Raw genomic sequence first — 27,300 nt, 5'->3', positions numbered from 1 at the left:
TCACCTCTCCTCTGCTCTTGGGAAGACTGGAGGAACACCATCCATTCAGGCCTTGAGTTAGCAGTTGCCCCCTGGGCGTCCCAGACTTCCCAGACAGGCTAGGTCCAATCCACAGCATCCACTCTAGCCACATCTTGATCCTTCTCCTCCTCCTCCTCTTCCCCTCTCATCTCCAGTGAATGGCTCCTCCAACCCCGGAGACACAAAAACAGCCCCTCGGGAATCATGTTTAACTCCTGTCATAAAGATTTGTTGATTCTTTCTCCTTAACGTTTCACCGCTCCAGTTCAGGACACCAGCATTTATCAGTGGTTATATCGCAAAGAATCTTCACTGGGTTCCCTGATTCTTGCCTTTATAGGTCACTACCTGACTGAAAAGCCTTTGGTTACTTCTTATTAGCTTCAGGGTAAAACCCAACCCCCTTTGAAGGGTTTGCAAGTGTCCCTACAATTTAACTCTCCACCCCATAGCTTGCATCTTCTCTCCTCACATCTTTTTTTTTTTATTATTATACAAGTTTTAGGGTACATGTGCACATTGTGCAGGTTAGTTACATATGTATACATGTGCCATGCTGGTGCACTGCACCCACTAACTCGTCATCTAGCATTAGGTATATCTCCCAATGCTATCCCTCCCCCCTCCCCCCACCCCACAACAGGCCCCAGAGTGTGATATTCCCCTTCCTGTGTCCACGTGATCTCATTGTTCAATTCCCACCTATGAGTGAGAATATGCGGTGTTTGGTTTTTTGTTCTTGTGATAGTTTACTGAGAATGATGATTTCCAATTTCATCCATGTCCCTACAAAGGACATGAACTCATCATTTTATATAGCTGCATAGTATTCCATGGTGTATATGTGCCACATTTTCTTAATCCAGTCTATCATTGTTGGACATTTAGTTTGGTTCCAAGTCTTTGCTATTGTGAATAATGCCGCAATAAACATACGTGTGCATGTGTCTTTATAGCAGCATGATTTATAGTCCTTTGGGTATATACCCAGTAATGGGATGGCTGGGTCAAATGGTATTTCCAGTTCTAGATCCCTGAGGAATCGCCACACTGACTTCCACAATGGTTGAACTAGTTTACAGTCCCACCAACAGTGTAAAAGTGTTCCTATTTCTCCACATCCTCTCCAGCACCTGTTGTTTCCTGACTTTTTAATGATTGCCGTTCTAACTGGTGTGAGATGGTATCTCATTGTGGTTTTGATTTGCATTTCTCTGATGGCCAGTGATGGTGAGCATTTTTTCATGTGTTTTTTGGCTGCATAAATGTCTTCTTTTGAGAAGTGTCTGTTCATGTCCTTAGCCCACTTTTTGATGGGGTTGTTTGTTTTTTTCTTGTAAATTTGTTTGAGTTCATTGTAGGTTCCAAATAAACTAGAAAATCTAGAAGAAATGGATAAATTCCTGAACACATACACTCTCCCAAGACTAAACCAGGAAGAAGTTGAATCTCTGAATAGACCAATTACAGGAGCTGAAATTGTGGCAATAATCAATAGCTTACCAACCAAAAAGAGTCCAGGACCAGATGGATTCACAGCCGAATTCTACCAGATGTACAAGGAGGAACTGGTACCATTCCTTCTGAAACTATCCCAATCAATAGAAAAAGAGGGAATCCTCCCTAACTCATTTTATGAGGCCAGTATCATTCTGATACCAAAGCCAGGCAGAGACACAACAAAAAAAGTGAATTTTAGACCAATATCCTTGATGAACATTGATGCAAAAATCCTCAATAAAATACTGGCAAAACGAATCCAGCAGCACATCAAAAAGCTTATCCACCATGATCAAGTGAGCTTCATCCCTGGGATGCAAGGCTGGTTCAATATACGCAAATCAATAAATGTAATCCAGCATATAAACAGAGCCAAAGACAAAAACCACATAATTGTCTCAGTAGATGCAGAAAAAGCCTTTGACAAAATTCAACAACCCTTCATGCTAAAAACTCTCAATAAATTAGGTATTGATGGGACGTATTTCAAAATAATAAGAGCTATCTATGACAAACTGTCCTCACATCTTATCCTCTTGCAAAAAAGAACCGAAGCACGGTGTCAATACAGTCTGCTCCCCCTCACTCAGATGTCCCTACATGCAGATCCCTCATCCTATTTATTTGTTTATTTAAATTTTTTAAATGGTATGTACTATGCACCAGATATTTCACAAATGTTACCTCCTTGAAGCATCAAGACTATACTATGGGGTAGTTTTCCAGGAAACTGGGACAAAGAGAAGAGAGAATAAACACCTTGCCCAGGGTGATTTATCTAGTGAGTAGCAGAGTCAAGGTCTTTAACTCAGGCAGTCTGCCAAGAAATCATTCCTCTTGTTGTTGTAGTTCACCTAGTTGCTACTTAATTTTTAAAAGTTAACCCACATATTATTAGCTTCTAAAGGAGGCTTTACCAGGTCATTTTTCTCACAACCATTGAAGGTTTAATATTCAATCTTCTGTATTCTCATATAATTGTGTCTGTATCTATCATACAGAATATTATGTGTATAATCATAATTATCCTTTCATTTATTTGTCTCCCCCCAAAAACTACCACACATGCACACACACCATCAGACTGGGAGTCCTTTGAAGGCAGAGGTCCTTTTTTTTTTTAAGTCATTTGTTTGTTGGTTGGTTGGTTTGAGACAGGGTCTCACTCTGTTGCCCGGGCTGGAGAGGCAGTGCCACAGTCCTGGCTTGCTGCAGCCTCAACCTCCTGGGTTCAAGTGATCCTCTCACCCCAGCCTCCCAAAGTACTAGGATTACAGGAATAAGTGACCATGTCCAGCCAGCAGATGTCTTATTTTATCAATGCTTATTATCCCCAGAGTGAATTCCAGATAAACCCTTCATAGTATGCCCTCAATACATGTACAAAGCCCTCCGTGTATATGCTATGTATTCTAAACTTGCAACTACCTTGTATTGATTATTTCACCAAGAAAAACAGTGACTCCAATGTGGTCTGTGTAATCTTTAAAAGGGGTTAAATGTATTTCACACACATCAGGATTCTAGAAGATTTGATATTTAACACACTAGGGCATTTGACTCTACCAAATTAAAAATGTAATGTATAAACTATAATTATAACAAAGAGATTTTATACTGACACTGTAAATTGGTTTCGAGTTTATCTTTTATTTATAATTAACAAATCGACTTTGTAGTTTTTAGAATGAAAACCAAATATGAAAGTTTTAAGCAAAAGAAGAAAATGTATAGCTTGTCCAAAATCAACAGAATCAAAATGCTCACTTTTTATTCCTGAAATTATTTAGGAAAATATTTACTTCAATATGACTTTCAAATTTAACTGCCTAAATGTAAATTTAATGTTACATAGATTTTTTTTCTTCCATTCCTTTGAAGGTTGTTTGAGTTCCTATCTTTTTGGCAGTGCTGTGGGAGAGGTACAACCTTTGAGTTGCACAGATTTGTAGTGAAGATACAACATATGTACAAATGCCTAAAAAAGCAATTAACACATGCAAATCAATTCAGAGTTTTCACAGGATCTGACCATTGTTACCTCACCTGAATCTTTGTGTCCTAGGAAAGCTAAACAGAACAACAACAACAAAACACCAGATGAGGCAAACTGGGACTCCAACATGTAGCAAAGCTGACCCACGCTTCACAGATCGAAAGTGGCAGGCCATTGTTCTTACACTACACTTTTAGTGCTTTTTACTTCCTCCTTTCTATAATGAGGCAACCTGTAATAGTAAAACAGACATGTAGTATTCCTTTCCCACTCTCTTCAAAATTGGTTGTGTCTGGAAATAAGAAAAGTAGTCATAATCATTAGAGGGAGCTTTATAGTCTATCTTGACACTCTGTAGCCATTTTCATAAAACTTGCCCTTAGCTTATAGATATCTCAGGATTATTCTCCATTCACAGTGTCACAGGGTAGCAGTACAGAGGCAGTTCCATGTCATACAATCACATTCAAACTATGGGATCTTAATCACACACCCTTGTCACTGCCTGGCCCACTACTCCCTGCCTCAAATGCCTGAACCAGAACAATTCCTCCTTTATCACACAAACTGTTACATCTGTATAATGGAATACTATTCAACAATAACAGGGAATGAACAACTGAAACACACAGCAACATGGATTCTGGATTAACAAATGTATTATGCTAAGAAAGTGAGAGAGGCTAGACTCAAAGGGCTACATGATTACATTTACACAGAGAATCATCATTCTGGAGAATGTAAAACTAAACAGACGGAAATCAGATCAATGGTTGCCAGGGATGGCAGGTGGGGATAGAGGTAGGTTACAAAAGGACACAAGGGAATTTAGGGGGTGATAAAACCATTCTATATCTTGACTGTATGTAGCTACATGACATTGTGTTTGCCCAAAACTAAGCCTTACAAAAGAATGAATTTTACATTGGGTATCTCCAAAGAAGAAGAGAAATCCAGATCTTTAAGGTTGGTACAGGTTGAAGAATCTTTGTGATGAGTTTAGGAGTCTGGCCTCAAAGAACCTCTATTGTTTCTCTCAGGGGTTTCTGACTATAGTCAACTCCATTTGAACTCAGAGGGGAGATAACACTTTTTTAAGATAGAGTCACTGTATAACATGGCATGTCTCAAATCACTTTCCTGAATTCTAGATGGTGATTTTTACACCTTGTGTTCTTCAAAAGAAACACCTGAGGGAACTTGTTAAAATGATTCTAGTTCCAGATATTCTGATTAGTTAAGTCTGAAGTGAGGCCCAGGAATCTTGATAGAGAAGATTTTACTACACTTAGAGAAGCATTACCTAGGGAATATAAAGGGAAAATAAGCCAGATAATCTCATTTATGAAACACGGTATAATGATTTGCACACTGTGGCCTCTGTGACATGGTCTTCCCAACCTCTTCTGTCAGAAGCTGCCCTCTTCTACTTCTGAGGAGTGTTTATCCTAAAAGATGAACACTGCAAGAAGCAGGGCTTTCCATTCTTGCCAGGCTAAGACCTTACTCCTGATTCCTGGTTCCTATATGAGAGGTTTCTTTTCCCTGGGATAGCTAATATAAAGATGATACTTTGCCCCTGTGCAAGGGGGTGTGACCTCATTAAGCCACCCATATCAGAATACAATAAATCTAACATGCACCTTGGAGGGATATATACATGACCAGAGGTCATTGTATTCCAGGGAGAAAAAAAAAATCAAGGCAGAGGTAAATCTTGAAAACCCTTGGTCTTGTAGTTGAAAGAATACAGCCTTTGGAAAAAAAACAACTTGAGTTGTATTCTGTCTCCATCGCTGGCTGTCCACGTGACTTTAGAGAACTCACATAAACTTGAACCTCAATTTTTTTAATAATGGAGATTATAAAACCCACCTTCCAAGAATTATACATAAGTTTTGGAAAAGGCACATGTTTTTTTTCTTTCTTTCTTTTCTATATTATTTTTATTTAGGCATAACTCATATGTAGGAAAGTGCCCAGATCTTAAGTGCATAGCTTGATAAATTTTTGCACAATAAAAACCATAGAACTATCACACAGTTTAAAAATATAGAACATTTCTGGCACTTCAGAAGGTTTTCTTCTGTCTCTTTATGGTCAGTAACCTCCAAAAGGTACACACTCTTTTGGATTCTATTACCAGAGATTATATTTCCAACTCATAAGTTTTTGATAAATATCAATGTCATTTTTATGACACAGGGTTAGGTAAGTGTCCCTAAACAATGAGCAGATGCTTCTTAAACAATAACCCCATTGGAAAGCTAGTAAAAAGATGTCTGGAATCAGTGACACATTCGAGGTTGCTTAAATCATCCTGGGAGATCTTAGGAGTGAGAGGAGAGGTCATAATGCTGGGTTCATGAAAAGAAGAAAAGTGTTCACCTTGCTGTAAATCCATGTGGAAGTGAGTCTAGCCTGAGTGAAAAATTGTATCTGACACCTAATGGAGAAAAGCATGGAGTTCATGTAGATTATTAAGGAAAGCAGATAGACAGATGCAAAGCTTAGAGAAGAATATTAAATGATTTATGTGATAGGCATATGCAATTGTGCAGTAGGTTAGCAGAATTATCTGAGCTTCCATACTCATAGCCTTCATGATCTGTCTCAATTTTACCTCCAAAATGAGTATTTTAACCATTTTTTTCTTCTCCAATTTCTCCAATCACTACTCTTCTATTGGCCTAAATGGTCCCATCTTAAATCAACCCACCTTGTCCACAGGATGATTACTCTCAAAACACATCTGATCATGTCATTCCCCTACTCGAGAACTTTTAATGACTATATTTCACTTGAAAGGTAAATTCCAGTCTAAACACAACGTATAAGCCCCCTGCTTAACTTCCATCTGATCACTGAGTCTGCAATCCAAACACTCCCTTCCATTCATTCTAGACTAGCCCTCCACTACTGTTTTCTGTACTTTTGGGCTTCCCCGACTCTTCCATTGATGCTCTTCCTGTCCTCTAATAAAAATCCTAATCCTTTAAAACAAGTTCATGACAACTGTCACTCTTCTGCCGACACTTCTCCCACCCAACTCCTCTTTTATCAGGCAGAATCCAATTTGCTGCACTGTATCTATCCAAGGCCTTACCTTTATATAAGTCAGGTAGCCTTTATCACACTGTTCTGTATTTACCAGACTTTCATTGCATATGCTGGCTCAGCTGTGAGGCAACTGCAGGAAAGAGGAAGAAACTGCGGACAATCTGCATTATATTAAAGGGGCTGAGTGATTATGGAAGCTGACTTCCCAGTGGGAGCCACCTGCCGAAATCTCAGATTACAAGAGTGGGTGGTAAGGATCACAAATTTGGCCTTAATGAGGTTTGGCATCATTCTCTGAGGGGTTTAAGTGGTGAGTACGACATGGCAGCCAGGATCTGTAGGTGGAGGTATGTGGGGGCAGAACTCTAAGAGGGCTCCCATGACATCCACCCCCAAACCCCCACTGTACATGCCCAGTATAACTCTCTGGATGAGTGTGATGAATTTTACTCTCATTATTGGGTTTTGTTGTATCATAGTCAGCCATAAAATAAAGATATTACCTGAGTGGGCCTGACCTAATCACATGAGCCCTTTGAAAGCAGGGTGATTTCTCTGGCCATGGAAGGGGATGTCAGAGAGATTGGAATAATAAAAGAAATTTGATAATGCAGTGTTGGGCTCCTACATTGCTGGGTTGAAGGAGCCCATAAGGCCATGAGAGTGGCCCCTAGGGGCTGAGTCATAGCTACTAAGAGAGTGGAGACTTCAATCCTGCAATTGCAAGGCAACAAATTCTGCTAACCAATTGAGTAAGCCTGGAAATGAACCTTTTTCTAGTAGAGCTTCTAAATGAGGAAGCAGCTGGCCAACACCTTGATTTTAGCCTATGAGACCCTGAGTAGAACGTCCAGCTAAAATCTCCCAAAATCATAACTCATGGAAACTCTGAGATAATAAATGTGCTGCTTGAATCGCTTAAGTTTGTGGTAAATTGTTAGGCAGTAACAGAAAACAAATACAGGATGGCATTTGTAGTCCAGCGTGGTAGGAATTTTGTCAGTCTTCTCCACGATTTACCTAGATTGGTATAATGCTGAGCTGACAACTGAAGGTTTAGAAAGCAGTCAATGAGCGAGAAGAGGGACTGGCCTGAGTTATGTGAATTAGGAGCTCTGGATAGGGCTCTAGCTCCATTTTGAGACTTGGGATGCATTCAGGAAGCATAAACTGAATGAAAGGTGAAGAAATAAGGATAAGAGGAAATGAATTCACTTGGTGGGTATAGGAATGCTTAGGATTACTTTAGACACAGGGAAATCAGTTTACAGCAGCCAGACTAATGCCAGAACCTGCCTGCTGGAGACACGGAGGTCTTCTCTTTCTACCAGACCAGGCTATTCTTGGCTGAGTCAGCTGTGTAAATATCTTCAGTGCTAAAGAGTGGGGAGGGCTGAAAGAGGTAAAGACCGACAGTCTCTGCCCCCCACTGGAGTGTAACTTAAAAAAATTATTTCTAGAGGACTATATCTCATTCATCTTTGTGTCCTTAGCATCTATAGCAAAATCTGGAACAAGTAGATTCACACTGTTAGTCAAGAGGGAATTGTAGAAATCCCATGTGTTGTGGAATTGAAAGCCACTAAATGACCCATTTGCCCCTTTCATAATTTATTGTGCTTTAAAGGAAAGGCTATGAGGTTTGTAGCTAGACAGACATGAGTTCAAATCTTGGTCACCGTTATTAACCTCCCTGAACTTTATTCTCCTGAGTCCCTGCTGCTTTCTGGGTTTTTGAGATGGGCAGCACCAAGCAGGAAAAAGTTTGGTTACTTTTAGCTGCTTCAGTCAAACTCATTATGAGCTTTCAAATTGAGGAGCTGCTGAGTTAATCCAAGAAATAGTGTTGTAATCAAAACAAATATGTGGGCTTTGTTGATTCTCCTGCATCTATATGGCACTTATATTCTTGTTCTTTTAAGGTGAGGCTACAACCACATGAAATGATGGGCTTTAGGACATCAGCCATGGGCATAGCAAGAACACAATAACTTATAATTGTTCCAGTATCCATCAAGAACTTTGCTAGTTTCTTTACCCCAGCTAAGTATGTGAACTAGGGTCAGCTGGTAAATCACTCCAACTCAATTTTCTCATCCATAAAGTGGGGACAAAAATAGTATCTGCCTCATAAAATTGCTGGGCAAATAGGGTTAATATTTGTGAAGCATTGTGGTACTATATAAGCTCTAGATAAATAGAAATAGCTCTTTATTTTCATGACAACCCATAGAGTTAAACATTACTATACCTAAGTTGTCAGCAGAGAAATCAGAGTTAATAGAGAAGGTAGGAGATTTATATTAAAAGAGAAGTAACCAACATAAGGTAGCATGCATGTATTTACACATGAAAAATCAAGCCTTGATTAATATCAAATCGTTACACGTTAGTTCAACACCTGTTGAATACAAAGCACTGTAAAATGTAATGATATTTGCCATCTCTAATTGTAATGTTGAAAATGGTGCAAATGCATTAATTATTGGGCTTTATTTTGTTCAATAAAAATCAATATTTGGAATATAAATCCTAAGAGCCAATGTCAGTTTCTTCCTGGAACTCTAAGCTGAGCACTTGTAGGACAAGACAACAATGGCCTGTAGGTGGCCAGTTGTCCTGTACAACATAAAAGCCAGAGAACAATAGAAAAACCCTACAAGTTTTATTCCACACACCTTATTAGCATTCATTTCCTACGGATATCAGCCACAATATCTTAAACCATGCAAAACATCACAACTATTATGAATACTAAAGAAAGGAATAGATATACTCATATATATTTTAAAACAGTAACTTATTAGGTTGTTCTTCACTCTGAACTCAAGCCGCATGAATGAGCCTATTTATGTTTCTGAGTCTCAGACAGCTCCCTCAGACACATTAATGGATGGAGCTAGGACAGGAAGGTAGCACCAGCACTGGCCAGCATTACTCCTGAAGTCCATGGCTGCCAATGGCACTGCATCCAGGCGCTGAACAAATATTCACTCATTTGTTCATTCACTTATTCTTCCATTCAAATATAATCTGTACCAACCATATCAATAAAAACAACAAAATCTAACCTCTATGTGTCAGGCACTATGGGTAAGCACTTCCCTGCATTATCTCATTTTATCCAAGTAGTCACTCTCTGGGAGTACTATTTTCTGCACTTTAGAGATAAAGAAACTGAAGCTCAGAGAATGTAAATATCTCACCCAAGGTCATATAGCTAGTAACTGGTAGTTCCAAGAATTAATTTTTGTTTGTTTGTTTTGCTTTACTTCAGTGCTGACTCTTTTCTTAAGCACATTATATATTCAGTCGTGAATGCATTTACCCATTCATTCAACAACACTGGGGCCTACTAAGTGCCATGCACTGTGCTCAGAGCTGAGGAAACAACAATGATAAAATCCTTGCTTTTGAGGAGATGATCATGGATTCAAAAACAATGCAAGGTGATGTTAGACATACTAAATTATATTGGATTCGATTAGATGGACTTGGAATTGAATTGAATTGAATCAAATTGAAGTCATGTTTATTTCTTATTCAGAACTGATAGGATAGAAATAATAAAGCTCTCTTGCTCTAGAAGTGGTCACCATAAAGAAGTGAGTAACAAACCATTCTTGGACTCTTAAGAAAACAAAGTGAGACTAATCTGTAAAGGGTAGCAGAGGCAGTTTGTGTGGATGCAAAGAACATCTGACCCTGTGGTTCAACCTACAAAATCTGGGCATTCATTCTGCCAACAGACCCAACCATTGAACTTAACATTAGGATCTCAAGAATATGTAGTGGTCACTGTTCTCAAGGATCCTCAGCCTAGTGGTGGACAGGTAAAGAGGGAAGTCCAAAAGAGTGCTGGGCTTCAGGATGTCTCTCTAATTGATTATATTTGAGTTGAGTGAAACCTGGAGGATAAAGGGTAGGGCAAGGAGAGCTGGCATATGAAATGTTTTGGCAACTACATTTTTGAGAAAATTATAAAAGAATGAAACCAAAGCTCCAGCTCTGCTCTGTAACTAACAAGGTGCGATAACCCTGATGTCCCAGAAACAGTAAGGGCTTTACAGAGAAAACATCATTCCATTTCTGTTCTTTCAATTTAATAGTTATGTGACCTTGTACCAATTAGTTATCCAGTGCCTAAGTGTTCTCGTGGGCAAACTGGGGCCAATAACATCTACTTTAAAGAGCTTAATGAGAATTAATAATGATCATGTGTGCAAATATACCAGCACATTGCTTGACACCAAGGAATAGCTCACCAAATATTAAATATAACCTCCATTTCTATTATGCACTAAAAAATTGGCCACCAGACACCTGGAGGAGTACCTACTTAGCATCTCCTAAGCTACATTCTATAAAACAGGAGTTCTGGGGACAAATATGTTTGGAAATCATTGTATACTATTGCTCTCACTCCTATAAGAGTCACAGTGGATATCAGCATGCAACAGTTCTGCATTACAGAAACATCTTCAGATGTGTTTTCCCTGACTTTTCTGTACTTTTTGATCACTAAAGCCCTTTATCACTTAATATTAGGTTCTCTTTGTTACATCACCCTAATGTTTTTTGCTTTTTTAATTTGCTTGTTTTATTAATGAATGAACAATGAATGAGTGAATTTCATAGAGCTATTTGATAAAAACAATGCCACCCCTTACCCCCAAATTTGATATGTTACAGTATCAGATACAAGATTCTGAAAGAGCTCTTTTGACTCTGAGAAAACTGGATATTCTTTTGGGAATACCCACTTCTCTTAATGAGTTCTTGAATCTCAGAGCAGATGATTTTTTTTTTACTCATCTAATTCACTATTCATGGCAAATTCTTAAAAGCTGAGTTATCTCCATTACTATTATGGATTGACGTGTATTATTATTATTGCTTTTGTTGTTGTTGTTAGCTGTATATTCTCAGATGTCCCTTTTGTGAATAGAGATTCAGAGACTTAAGTACTCTCTGGAATTTAGCCCCTTTCAAGATCTAACCATCATTTGAGATAGTTTCTTATGGAGACAGGAGTACTATCTTGATGTAGAAAGGGGGCAGGGCACTCTCTGTTGCATTTAACACCTTGGTAGCAGAACCCTTGCACTACTGCAAAGCATTCTTAACCCAACATCTCCTGGGAGGTTATTAAGAACCCTGAGAAACAGGAATCTAGGAGGCAGCAGAAGCAAAATATTGGAATTACTAGTTATCATCCTAGTACTGTGATTGATTGGCTATATGGTCATGGGGAAGTTAGTTATGTTATCACTTCAAAACTCAACTTTTTCAATTATGAAATCGATGTGGTACTACTTGGCCTGCCCACTTCACAAAGTTGTTTTCAGGCTGCATTAAGAAGTCAGAGTGCTGAAAACTGCAAAATCTCTAGAAATCCTAAGAGAGCGTAAAAACAGTACCACCCCCATGCCCTAGATAAAGAAAATGAAGAAAAACAGAGTGTCAGTCTTGCCCAAACTCTCTCAGCAGCAAGATCCTTTCTTTGGGCTTCCTGTTGGCTGGCCCAGTGTGTAACTTCTGCAGCTCTGAGGCTGTCTGTTCGGCTGCACAAAGTCATCCCCGATTTCCCTCACTTCCTCAACTTACAAATCCATGCCATCACAACATCCCATAGATGAAGCTTCCTTCTCTCCCCTCTCACCTTACTCAACACTTCTGTCTTAGTTTGGGTCTCTATTTTTCTCATCTGACCCTTTTGGTGCATGAACTTCCACTCTGCCTCAGAACTGGGAAGCTTCTTGTCCATTCTTCACACTATGGTGGCCAGAGTTATCATTCCAAAGAGCATATCTAACCATGCTCTGTTCCCTGAGCATGCTCTGTCAGACAACCTACATCAGGAAAGAGGGATGCTTAAATGGGTAACTGAAGAGTTTGGTGCATGGGCAAGTGACAGAAGTATGGGTAGAGAACTTGGAAGGAGTTGTGGCTGTGGGAAAGAAGCTGCCCGTCAGAATTTTGGACCTCAGCACAGAAGTGCAGACATCACCAAACCCTGGTCCCCCGGGGAGTAGCAGGAAAAATAAGTCCTAGGCGCTATCTTCTCACCCTTTGCTTTCCTGTTGGTGCCTCCTATTGGCCAAGTAGGAGCTTGAGTAACTAGGTTTGTGAAAATCATCTTCCCAGAGCACACAGCAGGGCAGGGAAGAATAGAAATGGAATCTGGAGAAGCAAATGAAAATATCCAGCATGCATGCATTCGCTTGTGTGGATCCATGACTTTACTCAGGAAATCCCTGCCGCCTTTCATGCCCCTTTTTCCTAGAAAACTATAGACCCTATAGTCCTCTAGAGATCCAAATCCTAACTATGGCATGCTCCTAATTCTTACCTAACTGCCATTTCAACTGCAAAACTCTTATTCACTACCCTCTATTAGAATTAATCACTCTGTTGTGCCCCCTCAGCATTTAGGCTTTAGAGATAAAATGGTTGACATGAAATTCAAGCTCTGCAACTTGTTAGCTATGTGACTTCAATCAAGTATTTAGCTACCCAATACCTCAGTTTCCCCATCACCAAAATGAGGTAATTAGTGACACTTTCTGTAGGGATTTGTGATGATTGCATGGTATGTATTTAATCCCTGTGAAACATCTAGACAAATGTCTGCCACTTGGGAAGCACTCCAGAAATGAGAGTTATCATCCTGTCATCACTGAATCTATCACAGTCTATTTGGTGGTGTGATTAACTCTGTATAGTCTGCTCCTCCAGTCGCTTACGGGCAGATACTTCTCTTACCTTGGATACTTGACATTCAGCCCAGTGTTTTGCACATAGAACTGCTTAGTAAATATCTATGTATTTGAATTGAATTGAAGATGAAGCAAGGTAGACTAGGTGGGTGAAGTCAACCCTGTTTTTCTTGCAATCCTTTGAAAACTCCAATCCTAGCATTTTCAACCTGCCAACAATTGACTAGTATTGGTTTACAGAAACTGTGCTTGTTAAAGCCAGGAGTTATCAAAGAGCCTTAATAGATATCTCTTAAGCTGCATGCATTTAAACAAAACCCTGATTGAGAGCCTGCACGTTCTCAGTTACTGGCGTCTGGAGAATCAATGCAAATCTTTATGCCATCATCATTTTCCTTGCCATGTTACTACTTGATCCCTGATCTCCACAGATTTCAAGAATAATAGAAATAAGGTGTATATGTCTGCTCTTACATACTCCTTGTTTAGTTATAGGCACAATCTAGCTTGAGGGGAAACAGGAGAGTATGTCTTCCTCCAAACACAGTCACCATTCAACAGAAATTTTTAGGCAAGATATTGACCTGGTGGTTGTTAAGACTAATGTAAAGTTAAAGAAAGCAGTGACTCTGAAACACTGGAGCCAATGAATGAAACCTTTTGCATTTGCTCTTATCCTCTCTAACATTTGGACTAGGCTACTCCCACCTGACCCCACTCACAAACGTGTTTGCCCTGATGGAAGAGCCTAGCTATGCCTCTGGCTATAAAAAGACAGGAGCTAATGTTTACTGAGAACATACTATGGACAATAACTTATGTCAAAAACTTTATACATCTAATACATTATTTTTTAAAATTATGTGATGTGGCATTTTTATATATTGGGAAGTATGCTACAAATAGCACAATTGGAGAGCCTATGTGGTCTCAAGCACTGTGCTAGTGCTGATAGTGCAGTGGTGATCCATGTAGATACAGTTCCTGCCCTCATGCCCATTATAATTAAGTGGTTCTGCCATAGCTTTGTTTCTGAGGACATTCTCATTATTTGAAAATTATGCTAACTAAAAACAATTATATTGATGTGAAAAAGAGGGTTACAAATTAGAAAGTTTTGGATATATAAAAATAAAGTTTTCCTGCAGAACATAATAATGACATTGTTTTCTAGATAGAAACTATTTCGTTATTGCAAGTTGAAAAACTATAGCTATTCTGAATGGATAAAACCAAACTTCCTCCTTTGGGAACTAATCACAAATGTGCAAGGCACACATATGGGAAAAGCCAGTGGCTGAATGTTTCTGAAATATAGAGTATAAAAGGAAAGGAAACTGAAGCATTTACAACTATAGAAATAGATTTGGGCCAGTCAGGTGGTGCTTCAAATGGGGAGTGTTAAATTCATTTCTTAGTCAACTCAAGCAGGAGCTGTGAAGGTGGGTAACACCATTAAAGCACTATTTGAGGATGTTAATCTCATGGTTAAACAAAAACAAAAACAAAGGGCCAAACAAAAGGATCAACGTGGAAACAGAGGCAGAGAACAAAGTAATCATCCAAATGAAACAGCAGACCCAGACAGGGCAGGTGCAGCCATGCACGTTGATGGGCTTGCCAAGGGCAAGCTTGTGCAGCAGTAGCTGTTAACAAGGTATATGAAGATCACCTGTCGAGTTTGTTAACCATATAGATTCCAGGATCTGACTCCCAGAGAATCTAATTCAGAAGCTGCCTGGAGGGGCAATGAGACTGAACTTTTAAAAAGTAGTCACCGTGATTCTAAGGCCAATTTTGAGAAATATTAATGGAGTAAATAAAGAAAGCTAATGGCAGAACCTTGAGGAAAAAACTGTTTTTAATGAGATGAGAAGGAAGAGGAGACAGCAAAGGAAATAAGGAATGACATGAAGTAAGAGGAAGGAAAAGAAGCATGCAGTAAGAATTTCAAGAGGAGGTTTTGGCAAACGCTACAAACTATCAATGAAATGAATATGGACAGGAAACAGAATAACACCAAAAACTGTCTGTAAAGGGTGAGTAAACCAGTTGGAATTGCTTACAATATTCAATTTTATTTCTTTTCTAAATATTTCTGAAGTTGAACTAATATTCTTGTTTGGAGCTATAATTTGATAAGATTCAAAAGACCAAAAAGAGTTTTTTTCCCAAAATTTTTAATGAAAACATTAAAACACATACCATAATTGAAAAAATGTATAAGTACTATATAACCACCACCTAGATTCTGCCATTAATATTTTATTTACTTGATTTATTAGATATATGTATATCTACTATCCCTCTATTCACTAATCCATCTGAGTTTCAGTACATTTCAAAATTAATTGCAGATGTGAACACTTTTCTCCCTAATTCGGGATGCATAATATTAACTTGAGTTCAATATTTGTTTACAGTTTTTAATGTAAGATTTGCATGCAATATATAATTAAGTGTACATTCAGTTAGTATTGACAAATGTTTGCACCTGGGTAACCCAAACACCTATCAAGACATGAAATATTACCATCATACCCTTTCCCAAAGACAAACAATATCCTAAATTGTTTCACCCTGTCTAAGTGTCTCCTGTTTTAGAATTTCATATAAATGGAATTATACAGTATTTTATCTTTTGTGTAAGGCTTCATTCACCCAGCAAAATATTTTTGAGATTCACTCACGTTGTTGAATGCATTAGTAATTTTATTCGTGAGTAGTACTCAATTACATATCAGAGTTTGTTTATCCATTTTGCTATTGAAGGTTACCAGGCTGTTACCAATATTGAGTTATAACGAATAAAGGTGTTATAAAAATTATTGTACAAGTCTTCTATGAATGTTTGTTTTTATGCATATTTGTCCAGAGTAAATACCTAAGAGTGGAGGTTTTTATATGTCTTGGTCACTATCCTTTGTTAAATATGTTTTGCAAATTATTTTTCCTGTTTGTAGCTTGCCATTCATTTTCTTTATGGTATTTTTTGATGAGCAAAAGTTTTTTTTTTATTTCAGTAAAGTCTAATCAGAGATTTTTAATGGCTATCATTTTCAGTGACGTGTATAAAACATACTTACCAACCCCCAAATTATAAATATATTTTCTATTTTCCACCAAAAGTTTTACGTTTTTACCTCTTTAAGCCTATGATCCCTTTTGGATTAATTTGTATATATGGTATTGGATGTTAATATCATTTTGTCTCCTACATCAAAATCCAGTGATTTTAGCTCTACTTGTTAAAAAATTTTCATTTTCCATTGGATTACTTTGGTAAACTTTCCCCAAAATTAATTACCTTATAAAGGTAGCTCTATTTCTGGTCACTCTTCCGTTTTTTTGATCGGTCTATCCCTATGCCAGTACCACACTCTGTAGATTATTGTAGTCTTTCAATAAGTCTTAAAGTCAGTTAGGGTCAACTTCCCAAGCTTTTTCATCTTTTTCAAGATTGATTTGGATATTCGTGGTGCTTTTCATTTCAATATAAATTTTAAAATTAATCTGTCAATGTGTAACTCTCCCCACAAAAAGCTTTCTGGAATTTTGGTAGAATTGAGAGTTTAACAACATTGAGCCTTCAAATCCATTTATTTATATCTTCTCTAATTTCGCTTCACAATATTTCATAGTTTTCAATGTAGAAGTCTTGCAAATCCTTTTGTTAGATTTATTCCTATTTTGTTTTTAATGCTATTATAAATGTGTTATTTCAATTTTCTAATAGTGCAGTGCTAGAATGTAAAAATTGGTTTTTTGTATATTAGTCTCGTATCCTATAATCTTGCTGAATTCGGTCATTAGTTTTAGTAATTGATACAGTTATTAGAATTTTCTAAAAAACAGCCAAGTCATTTACAAGTCAGTATGGTATAACTGCTTCCTTCCTTTTTGGTCTTTTGATGATTATTATTATTATGACTTTTACCTGATTAGAATGCCTAGCACCTCCAGTAAAATAATTACTAGAAGTGGCAAGAAGTGACACCTTTGTCATGTTACTGATCCTAAAGAAAAGTGTTCAATATTTAACAACTAAGTATGATTTAGCTAGAAGATAATTCTAAATGCCATATATCAGATTGAGGACGATATATTTTATTCATGGAGAGTTTTTAACATAACTAGTGTCGGATTTTAACAAATGCTTCATCTAGAACTATTATTACAATCATATCCCTGTTTTACCTTTTATTCTTTCAACATGATAACTTAGATTGATTGGTTTGTAAATGGTAAATGTAAATGTTAAATAAACCCTCAATTACTGAGATAAACTTCAGTAATTATGATGTGTTATTATTATTAGGTATTGTTAAAATTGACTTGATAATAATTTGCCAAGCATTTTGTACCTATTTTCATAAGAGGAATTATATTTATTATGTCCTTGTCCAGTCATGATATTGGCACTATGTCAGCCTCATTAAGTTGAGATGTCTTTCTTCCTCTATTTTCTAAAAGAAATTTTAAAGGGTTTATAGTATATCATCATTACATGTTTGATATAATTCACAATTAAATGATCAGAACCTGGAGTTTATATTGTGGGAAGAGTTTGGATACAAGTTCAATTAATTTAACAGATATCAAAATATTTATATTTTTGTTTCATTTTGAGTCACTTTTGATAAGTTTTATTTTTCAAAATATATTTTCATTCCATCTAAATTGTCTAATTTCCTGGCATAATGTTATTCATAAAATTAACATATTAGACTTTACATTTAATTTCTATTATAGGCAATTTATATTCTCTCTCCTATTTACTCCATCAGTGTAACTAAAGATGTAACACTTTCGTTGATACTTTCAAATAACAAACTTGCTTTCTACTTTATTTTTCTGGTTTCTATTTAATTTATGTCTCTTCTTAATTTATTATTTCCTTCCTTCCACTCACTTTAAGTTTACTATACTCTTCTTTTTTTAAGCTGCTTAAATTGGAATCTTAGGTTATTGATTTTTAGATCTGCTTTTCAACTTAAGCATTTAAACATATACATTTTCCTCAAAGCATTGCTTTAGCTGCAACACACACATTTTGAAATGCTGTGTTTTATTGTTATTTGGCACAAATTTTTCTAATTTCCCTATGATTTCTTCTTTTATTATTTGACCCTCGGGATTTATTTTTAAATTTTTAAGTATATCTAAGTATTATGAGTATGTTATTTAATTTGAAAATATGATACTCTAGCTATCTCATTGTTATTGATTTCTGGTTCAATTCTAATGTAGTCACAAAACATATTATTTATGGTTTAAATCCTTTTAAATGTATTTACTACATAGACCAGAATATAGCTCATCGTAGTGAATATAACATGAACACTAGGAAAGAATGTGTATTTTCTAGGTGTGAAATAGAGTGTTCTATAAATATCTATTATTTCAAGGGAATTAGTAGTGTTAGTCTCATTTTTTATGTTTTTACTTTTTTTCTAATTATTGTATCAATTGCTAAGGGTTGGATGTTAAAATCTGCAAATATTATTCTGGAGATGTTCATTCTCCCTTTAATTTTCCTTCATCTAATTTAAAGCTCTTTTATTGCGTAAACATTTACAATTGCTATATTTTCCTGGTGAATTGACTTTTATCATTATGAAGTGACTGAGTCTATGTTTGGTAATGCTCTTTGTTTTGAAGTCTATTTTGTCTGATATTAATTTATTCATTCTGGCCTTCTTATGCTCATTGTTGTGTGATATTTGTCTATTCATTTACTTTTATCCTATCTGTGTCTTTACTTAGCCATACTGGAAGACATCTTTAGACCAATAAAGTTTTAAGTTTTCTTGAGTCATTTACCCAAATCAGGTCAAACTTGCATCTTCAGAAAAGTGTATTTGAATGATTTGAATCAATGCTATGTTTTGCAGCAGATATATTCTGCACTTAACACTTTATGATGTAAAAGGACTCTTAACCTATTTGGGTCTTCGAGTCTTCCAAGGATTAGAAATCCTTGTGTTTAGGAAGGAAATATAAGAACTACTCTAACCATGCTCTCATAAAAATTACAGACCGACATAATCTCTTGTGCAGATACTAATAGGTGAAGCTAATAAGTCAGCAGGTATTTTAGACTCTAAAAGCATAGATAACGGAGAGGTGAAAATGTCTCCCTGAATCATAGCTCATAATTGGAAAAAGAAAAAGAACATAGTTTCACTGAAAAATTAATTTAATGTACAATTAAGAACTAGTTAAGGATAACTAATTATACCTTTGAATTTATACTCAACCCACAGCATTTGCTCTAAATATCAAATATGAAATAGTGCTCGCTTACATTTTATTTGGACTGAGCTATTTTGAGATGATTAATTTTTTAATCAAAGGCTCTGGAAATATGCTATTCTTTCTACAGGGAAGCAGGGCATGAAAACTTCCACCTTGAACTCAGGAAAAGTATCCAACAAGAGTTTGGCACAATTGTAGCCATCTAATGCTTACTTTGTAGCAGCCAGCATGAATTAAATAAACCATAATTCACAAAACAACCAACAAGAAGGACAGTATTGTGAGAGTTAGTAAATAAATAATAAATATAATATCTAACATTTTTTAAATAGTTACCGTGTACTAACACTTCACCTGAATTATCTCACAGTATTCAAAGCTGCCTCGTTTCATGAATTCTACCATCCTTGTTTCACAAGGGCAGCTTTCTCAGCTTGGCGAGATGACTTGGTGAATTGCTGATGGAGCCAGAACTCAAATCCATTCTATTGCATCACTCAAAATTCAATGCACCCTGGGTGTGTTAGAAAACTTGAGTAAAAAAGTCTTCCAGTTATAATGTATGGTTACAAATTATTCTTTTTAGAGTGTTTAAAGATCTGAAGGCATGAGAGGAAATGAGAATGTGGAATCATTCATATGCATGTGGAAATATTTATGCTGAAAATGGAATGCTGACTTCTGGGTGTGGTAGAGAAAACCAATGTGAAAATATGTGACTTTTCTATACAAAGACCAGTTAAATAATTCATGAATTTGTTTATTTAATTCAATGAGACATTGTATGTAGACCGTCTATGCCATTTATACTTGAAAATGTATTTTTATATTTAATAATTGATACTGTATTCAAATGTTTAAAAAACTTATTACATATAAGGTTCATAAAACAATGCCTGATACAAAATGTATGCTCAGTAATCTTTATTATAAGGATTGGCAGAGGCTCTAATCGAATAGGATTTTAAAAGAAAATTAAACCAGGAAAAATAAGTGAAGAGAGCATCTGCTAAGTGTAGATGCTATGTGTAGGTGCTATGTGATCTTATGTATATTACTTTCATTCTGACAACAAAATTATGACAATAACATCCATGTGTTCAGAGACATGTGCTATTCTGTTCTGTGAGCTCTATCCACCTTGGCCTCCCCCGGACTTGAGTCAGAGAGACTGTCAGGCTATCCTTTGCTGGAAACTCCCCAAACAGTAGACTTTGGTAATCACAGTGCTCACCTCATCTGCTTACCAACCATCTTTCAGGGAGGGTCCTTGTTCTTTGTTCGTTGGGATCCAATTTCCTGAAAAATGTTGTTTCATAGTTTGTTTTTTTGTTGTTTGTTTTTAGTTGTTTCAAATAGGTAAGTGAGTTTTGTCGTCTTTTACTCCATGTTGAGTGGCAGCAGAGACTCAAACTGTGTTTTTTAATTAATTGCCACTTAAAAATAACAATCAGCCAGAGATGAGCAACAGCTGTTTCTCCTAGACTGGTCTTATACTTCCCACTTCTCCAGAGCTCCCACTTCTGTATGTATCCACGCTTTCCCCATTTTTACTCATTGAAGTTATCAGCATAAGCGGACTTGTGTGAACCTCCAGCTAGAAAGTAGCTAACATTTTTTAAGTTACTATGATAAGGAAAGTTACATATTTTATCTCATTTATATAGAGCCTCACATGGAGAAAGGATGGAGACAAATATCAAAGAAGTATATGATGCCAAGTTTAATTAGGAACCATCAGAATTGAGATTTAAACCCAGATCTGTCTGATTCCAGAGTCCACACTTTTTCTAATATGATATACTATCTTCTAAAGAAGGTTAAAGTGGTTAAAAAAATTTAAGTAAGGGTGAGTCGTTAGGATCTGTAGGAAGCAGGGGTGAAAGAGCTTAACCCAATCCCTGACCATCCCAACCTAAGCTCAGACTTCAGCTGCTGAAGAATCCTTACAATGTAAACACTTTCAGAGTTTAACAAACCACAAAAGGTGTATTCAAATTGAACAAGTCTTATATTTAAAACCAGGTGCCACAACTGAATACTTGATACTTTCATATTTTAAGAACTGTGTTCACAATATATTCTGCTACTCAAACCAACATTTATATTTGTGTGTTATATTCTGTTCTAAAAGTTAGGATAGTTTCACAAAACTAGTAACATAAAGACTGCAAATCGTATTTGTTTAAAATGTCTTTCCCCCTTCCAAAATGTTTTTTCACATATTTCATGAGTAATTCAAATATGTAAGATTGCGTGACTTCATTATGACTAAATACTGAATGCAGGCTAATGGCCTTAAGAGGGAAGACAATGGGAACTTCCCTGGATTATCTAGCTGTTTCATGCTTGCTTCAGTTTCTTCATGTCAATAATGGTCTATTTAAAGTTTTGTAGTCTTTAAATTCCTTTCATTAGTGTTTTCATATGAACAATATGGGTTTCATATCTTTCTCCATTATAGCATTGTAATGTTGTTCAAACACTACTTATTAGCATGTCACATTCTTTCATTAAATTGCAGTCCCCTCAGGAATAAGCATAAATATAATTCTAACTTCATATTAAGGGTACTGATTTTGTTAAAATGAAACTGAACTGAAGGATCTTCTTAATTTTTCTCCTAAGAACAAAATAGACCTTAAACACTTCCCAAGAACAATTATAGAATTCAATAAGTGTGGGTTTGTTCATAGGCATGAGCTGATTGGTAAAATGCAAGCATCGTTGTATAATCTAACAATTTTGTTAGTAGCTAATGAGGGTTAGTGGAAAGCACATGATCTTGGAAGTCATATTAGTTGTCACTAATTAATTTGGGAAAGTTATGTACCTTCATTCACTTGTTCATCTGTGGTTATTTTTAAATTTGTACTTTTTGTTGGGCATGTGCTGTGACCTGGGATAGAATGGTGAGCAAGAATGTGTTGTTTCTTCCTTCACTGGGCTTTTTTGGGAAGCCGACCAGGTCTGTTGGGGAAGACGTAAGACGTGTGATCATGTAAGTGTGACGTGTTTGCAAGTGTTAGAAGAACAAGGGCTCTGGGTCACCTAGCAGGGTCATGTGACTCAGTCAGCGGGGAGCATAGGGATGACTGCCTGAAAGAAGACAAGGCTGAAACTTGAGAGATGAACTGGAGTGACAGGTTAAGCCAGGTGGAGCAGGCAGAGCGATCAGTAAAAGCCCAAGGACATAGAGGCTTTCACAGACTGACAAAGAATGTTTACTTTTTTCATTCACCTGAATAGCTACTGCAAAGAAAGTGATGTTACAGCCACATCTCTATCAAGATTACAACCTTCTTCAGGAGCACATTACAGCAGAGAATTCCTACTATGTGCCAGAAGTTACAGCCACCATCTTCCATTTGAATAGTGAACTCATTTTATCTTTGGAAAAAAAAAAGTCAGGGGGAAGGAATGTTTTACACATAGCAATCATTTCATTTTCACCTTATCCCAATAAGAAAACTATGGCACAAAGAAGCTAAACAATTTGCCCAAGATCACTTAGCTAGTAAATGGCTGTGCCTGAAACAGACCTACATGTTCTAAATTCTTAACCAGAATGAGTCTTCCAATGCTGACTTGCTTCTTTACTTGCAGATAAATGTGAAACACAGCCCAAGCAGGGCAGCTTATCTGGACTTTAGGCTCTAAGTGAGATGGGCACAGAGTTTACATACAAAAGACCTCAGCAATGAATTACCAAGAGAGCTGAACAATCATGGGTATGGTTTTTTGCTAACTTTGGGATTCTGCTGCCTCACCAACTGCCACCCCCATGGAAAGCTTTATTCAGTGGACAGAAGGGCTTCCCAGGACCTGAAAAATAAGGAGATCACCTTCCTCTCTGCCATAATAAGGAGGCTCTTGATATTTCACCCACCATACAAGAGTATGTAGGGCACATTTACTTGTCCTACAATGTGAAGACAACAGAAATTATTTCCTCTATTATATAGATGACAAAATGGAAGTTCACACAGTTTAAATACATTCCTTAAGGTCAAATAGTGAACATGGGCCAGCTTTGGATTTGAACTAACCTAGTGCTAGCTGAACAACTGTTCTTTTTCTCTGGATAGTTTCAAAGTCCTAAAAATAATTTGTAGTAAATAAAGATTCGTGAGCGATGAGTTTGCGCAACAAGGTGATGTTGCTGAATATGATCCCTTCTTGCAGAGTCATTCTTAGTAAAGTAAAATTTCTGGAAGTCCTATAATAAAGAGAGCAGTTTAAATTAAAGCCAGTATTTTACAAACATGTTTGACTACTAAAAGTCTGTTTCCCCTTCTCTATTAAAGGGCAGAATACGGCTTACCTCCTGGAGTTTTAGGGTGATTAATTGAGTTAGAATTAAAAAGGAAATTTGCGGCCAGACTGCTCCTAACTAGCAGTGGCACATGATGTCTCCTGCCTATACTTGACTTTCTTACTTTTCTAAGACAAATAATAATGTCTATGCACTGAATCGTTCTGAGTTGAGCGGAATCTCCACAGCAGTTCTTGGTACATTGAGTTTTCTCAATAAATATTCTCTTCCCTTCTTCTAGTTCACATTGCTGTCTTCCACGTTCTTCTTTCATTCTTCTTTCCTTGTGGCTGGTGTTCTTCCCTTCTTTGTCTTAGCTCCTCTTGTTCCTGATACCCCTGTCCTTCCACATGTCAGTTAAGCACTAAATGGGACAAAAGAGAAGAGGAAGATACCTGAAAATGGGATTTTTCTAAAGTAACGTGGATACTTTCCTTACCACATCCTTGAAAAACTGACATAAAACAAAAAATGTCAAGTCTGTACCTCTTTACCCTTGGAGATTTTTTTCATTTCAGCCATTTGGAAAAGGGAACATACAGCACCTCCCAGCTACCTGCACATTCTGCAACAGTGAGCACAGCAATCGTGTCATCTCTCTGAGACGGACCACAGGATCCTCAGCTGAAACCTCCAAATTTGTATTTACTTGACCATACTCTGGTGGAAGTTTTGTGTTTTTTAAAGTGGGTAATGGCAATATTTGGAATCGTATAGCCTGGCAGCTGTAGGACTTTAAATAGAGGAAAATGAGCAAGCAAGGTCAACTAGTGAATAAAACTTAAAAGTCTTTGAGACCTCTTAGTGATTTTACCAACTCATTTTTGTCCTTGGCTGGAGGGTGCTTCTTTGGGATCCTAGTTATATATAGTCAGTGCTCCATATCTGTGAATTTTGCATCTGTAGATTCAACCAACTAACTGTGGAGTAAAAATATTTGGAGAAAGAATATTTCAGAGTTCCAAGAAATAAGACTTGAGTTGGCCACATGCCAAATTCCAAGTTCTAAGTTGAATCCACACAAATGAAGTGATATTTATGCATTGTATTAGGTATTGTAAGTACTCAAGAGGTGACTTAAAGTATATAGGAAGATGTGCATAGGTTATATGCAAATACTGTGTCATTTTATAGGACAGGCTTGAGCATCAGTGGATTTTAGTATCTGAAAGGAGTATTGGCATCAATCCTTCACAAATACCAAGGGATGACTATATATGCAAAAGATGGATGGGAGGGTAGAATAACTTTCTACAGGGAAAGAGGTCACGGGTGAGGGTGACACATATGGTAATGATTTAGTAGTCAGTTACCTAATACGCTTCTACATATCAACCCACCTCCACGTTACCAGAGGATACTAGAAAAATGGTCTTGGAAGCTCTATGACTAGGCAGGACCTAGTTTCTGGGATAAAAGCTAAACCTATGGACAACCAACCTTTATGTTAGACAGATTTTTATTTGAATACTGGCTGTGTACCTTGGCCAGTTACAAATCACTCTGAAGACCAGTTTCCTCATCTGTCAAACTGTGACCATCATGCCCACCTCACAGAGTACTTTGTAAATCCATGTAAAAGTGCTCAGCAGAATGCTGGTACAACATGTGTACTCAAAATATGTTAACTGGATTAAATTGAAAGGAAATACTCTAGCACACAAAGGCTGATCCACAAAGCATCCTCACGGGGTGGCCACTGCTTCAATGTCCACAGAAAGGCAGAGCGGGGGAAGCAGGAACCTATTGCTTCAGGTGATGGGTCACTGCATTTTTAAGCAGTGGCAACTATAACGGAAGCAAAGTTAAAATTATTCAGGCCAATTTAAGCAAGATGCTTTAAATATGGACCCTTAATTGTTTATTTTCTACTTTTACCTTTATGTGTCAAATAAAAATGCACTGTAAAATTTCCATGCCAGGATATTTCAGGATAACCTCCTCAGAAAGTCATGTTAATTCCACTCTAGGAGGGAACCTCCATACCCTCAAAGATTAGAAAGGAGTATCCAACCCTTCAAGAGCAGCTTATAGTTAATGACAACTGCTAATTATTGCCTTTATTTCCTTCTGGATAAAAGGAATAATGTCAAAGACTTGAAAGAAATTAAGGTGATCTACCAGTGGGACAAACTCAGGAAAAAGTAAAACCCAGTCACCCAAGAAGGACCATATGGAACAATTTAAATATAATGCATGTGATGGATTTCTGCAAAGGCTGGCTACAGAAAGAAGGGAGCAGACAAGCATAGATAGTGCTTCTTATTTATTCATTCACTCAAATAGCATTTGTTTACAGGGTTTGTGGGAAGAAAACTAACATTTATTTGTGCCATTCCTTTTACAAATATTTATTGAACATTTACCTTTGCCGGGCAGTGTCCTGGGACCTGGGATAAAGGAATTAACAAGATAAATGAATTCCCCACTCACATGGGGCTAACATTATAGTAAAGGGAAAATATCAATCAAGATGAAATAGGAAAAATTATCAGATAGGGATAACAGCTATGTGAAAAATTAGAATAAAGTCATGTGAATATGAGTATGTTGGGATTACTTTACATAAAGTACTCATGGAAGGCTGGAAAGAGCCAGACATGTGAATATTAGAAGAAGAGCTTTCTGGTCAGAGAAAATAGCTAACATAAAGTCCTTGTGGCAGTAGGGAGCAAGCTTGTGTCTTCAAAGAATTTCTTTTTAAAGGCAATGTGACCTGGGTGCAATGAACAAAGGGGAGTGTTATGTGATGAGGTCAGAAACATAGGTAGGGCTGTGAGTTAAGAACTTTATGTTTTCATAAGCCATAGTGATAAATTTATCTTACTCTAAGTGCCATGTGAGTCCTGGGAAAGGATCAGGGCTGGTAATGTGGATGTGTCTTTCCATGGTGTTAAATTTATGGGGCTGATTTTCTCTTCCTGCCTTAGTTTGCTGAAGATAATGTCATCCAACTCCATCCATGTCCCTGCAAAGGACATGATCTCATTCCTTTTTATGGCTGCATAGTATTCCATGGTATATATGTACCACATTTTCTTTATCCAGTCTATCACTGATGGACATTTGGGTTGATTCCATGTCTTTGTTATTGTGAATAGTGCTGCAATGAACATATGTGTGCATGTATCTTTATAATAGAATGATTTATATTATTTTGGGTATATACCCAGTAGTGGGATTGCTGGGTCAGATAGTATTTTTGATTCTAGTTTTGATTTGCATTTTTCTAGTGAGCAGTAATGTTGAACTTTTTTTCTTTTGTTTTTTGGCCACATAAATATCTTCTTTTGAGAAGTGTCTGTTCATGTCCTTTGCCTACTTTTTAATGGGTTGTTTGTTTGTTTTTGTAAATTCAAGTTCCTTGTAGATATGCTGTATGTTCCTACTTGTAAGTGGGAGCTGAACACTCTGAGAACATAAGGACACAG

At 37.0% G+C, this 27,300-nt stretch overlaps 1 annotated feature.

Annotated features, from left to right (window-relative positions):
• Positions 22,205–23,404: an enhancer, noted in NCBI's record as "CDK7 strongly-dependent group 2 enhancer chr11:79650639-79651838 (GRCh37/hg19 assembly coordinates)". NCBI's record gives its function as "activates an origin of replication core promoter dependent on BRD2, BRD4, P300/CBP, MED14 and CDK7 cofactors, with strong dependence on CDK7, by STARR-seq in HCT116 cells {active_cell/tissue: HCT116}" and the evidence as "EXISTENCE:reporter gene assay evidence [ECO:0000049][PMID:35650434]".

The sequence above is a fragment of the Homo sapiens genome, chromosome 11 (assembly GCF_000001405.40).
Source record: "Homo sapiens chromosome 11, GRCh38.p14 Primary Assembly".
In the NCBI taxonomy this organism is placed as follows: Eukaryota; Metazoa; Chordata; class Mammalia; order Primates; family Hominidae; genus Homo; species Homo sapiens.
This window is presented reverse-complemented; position numbering and strand designations above follow the sequence as displayed.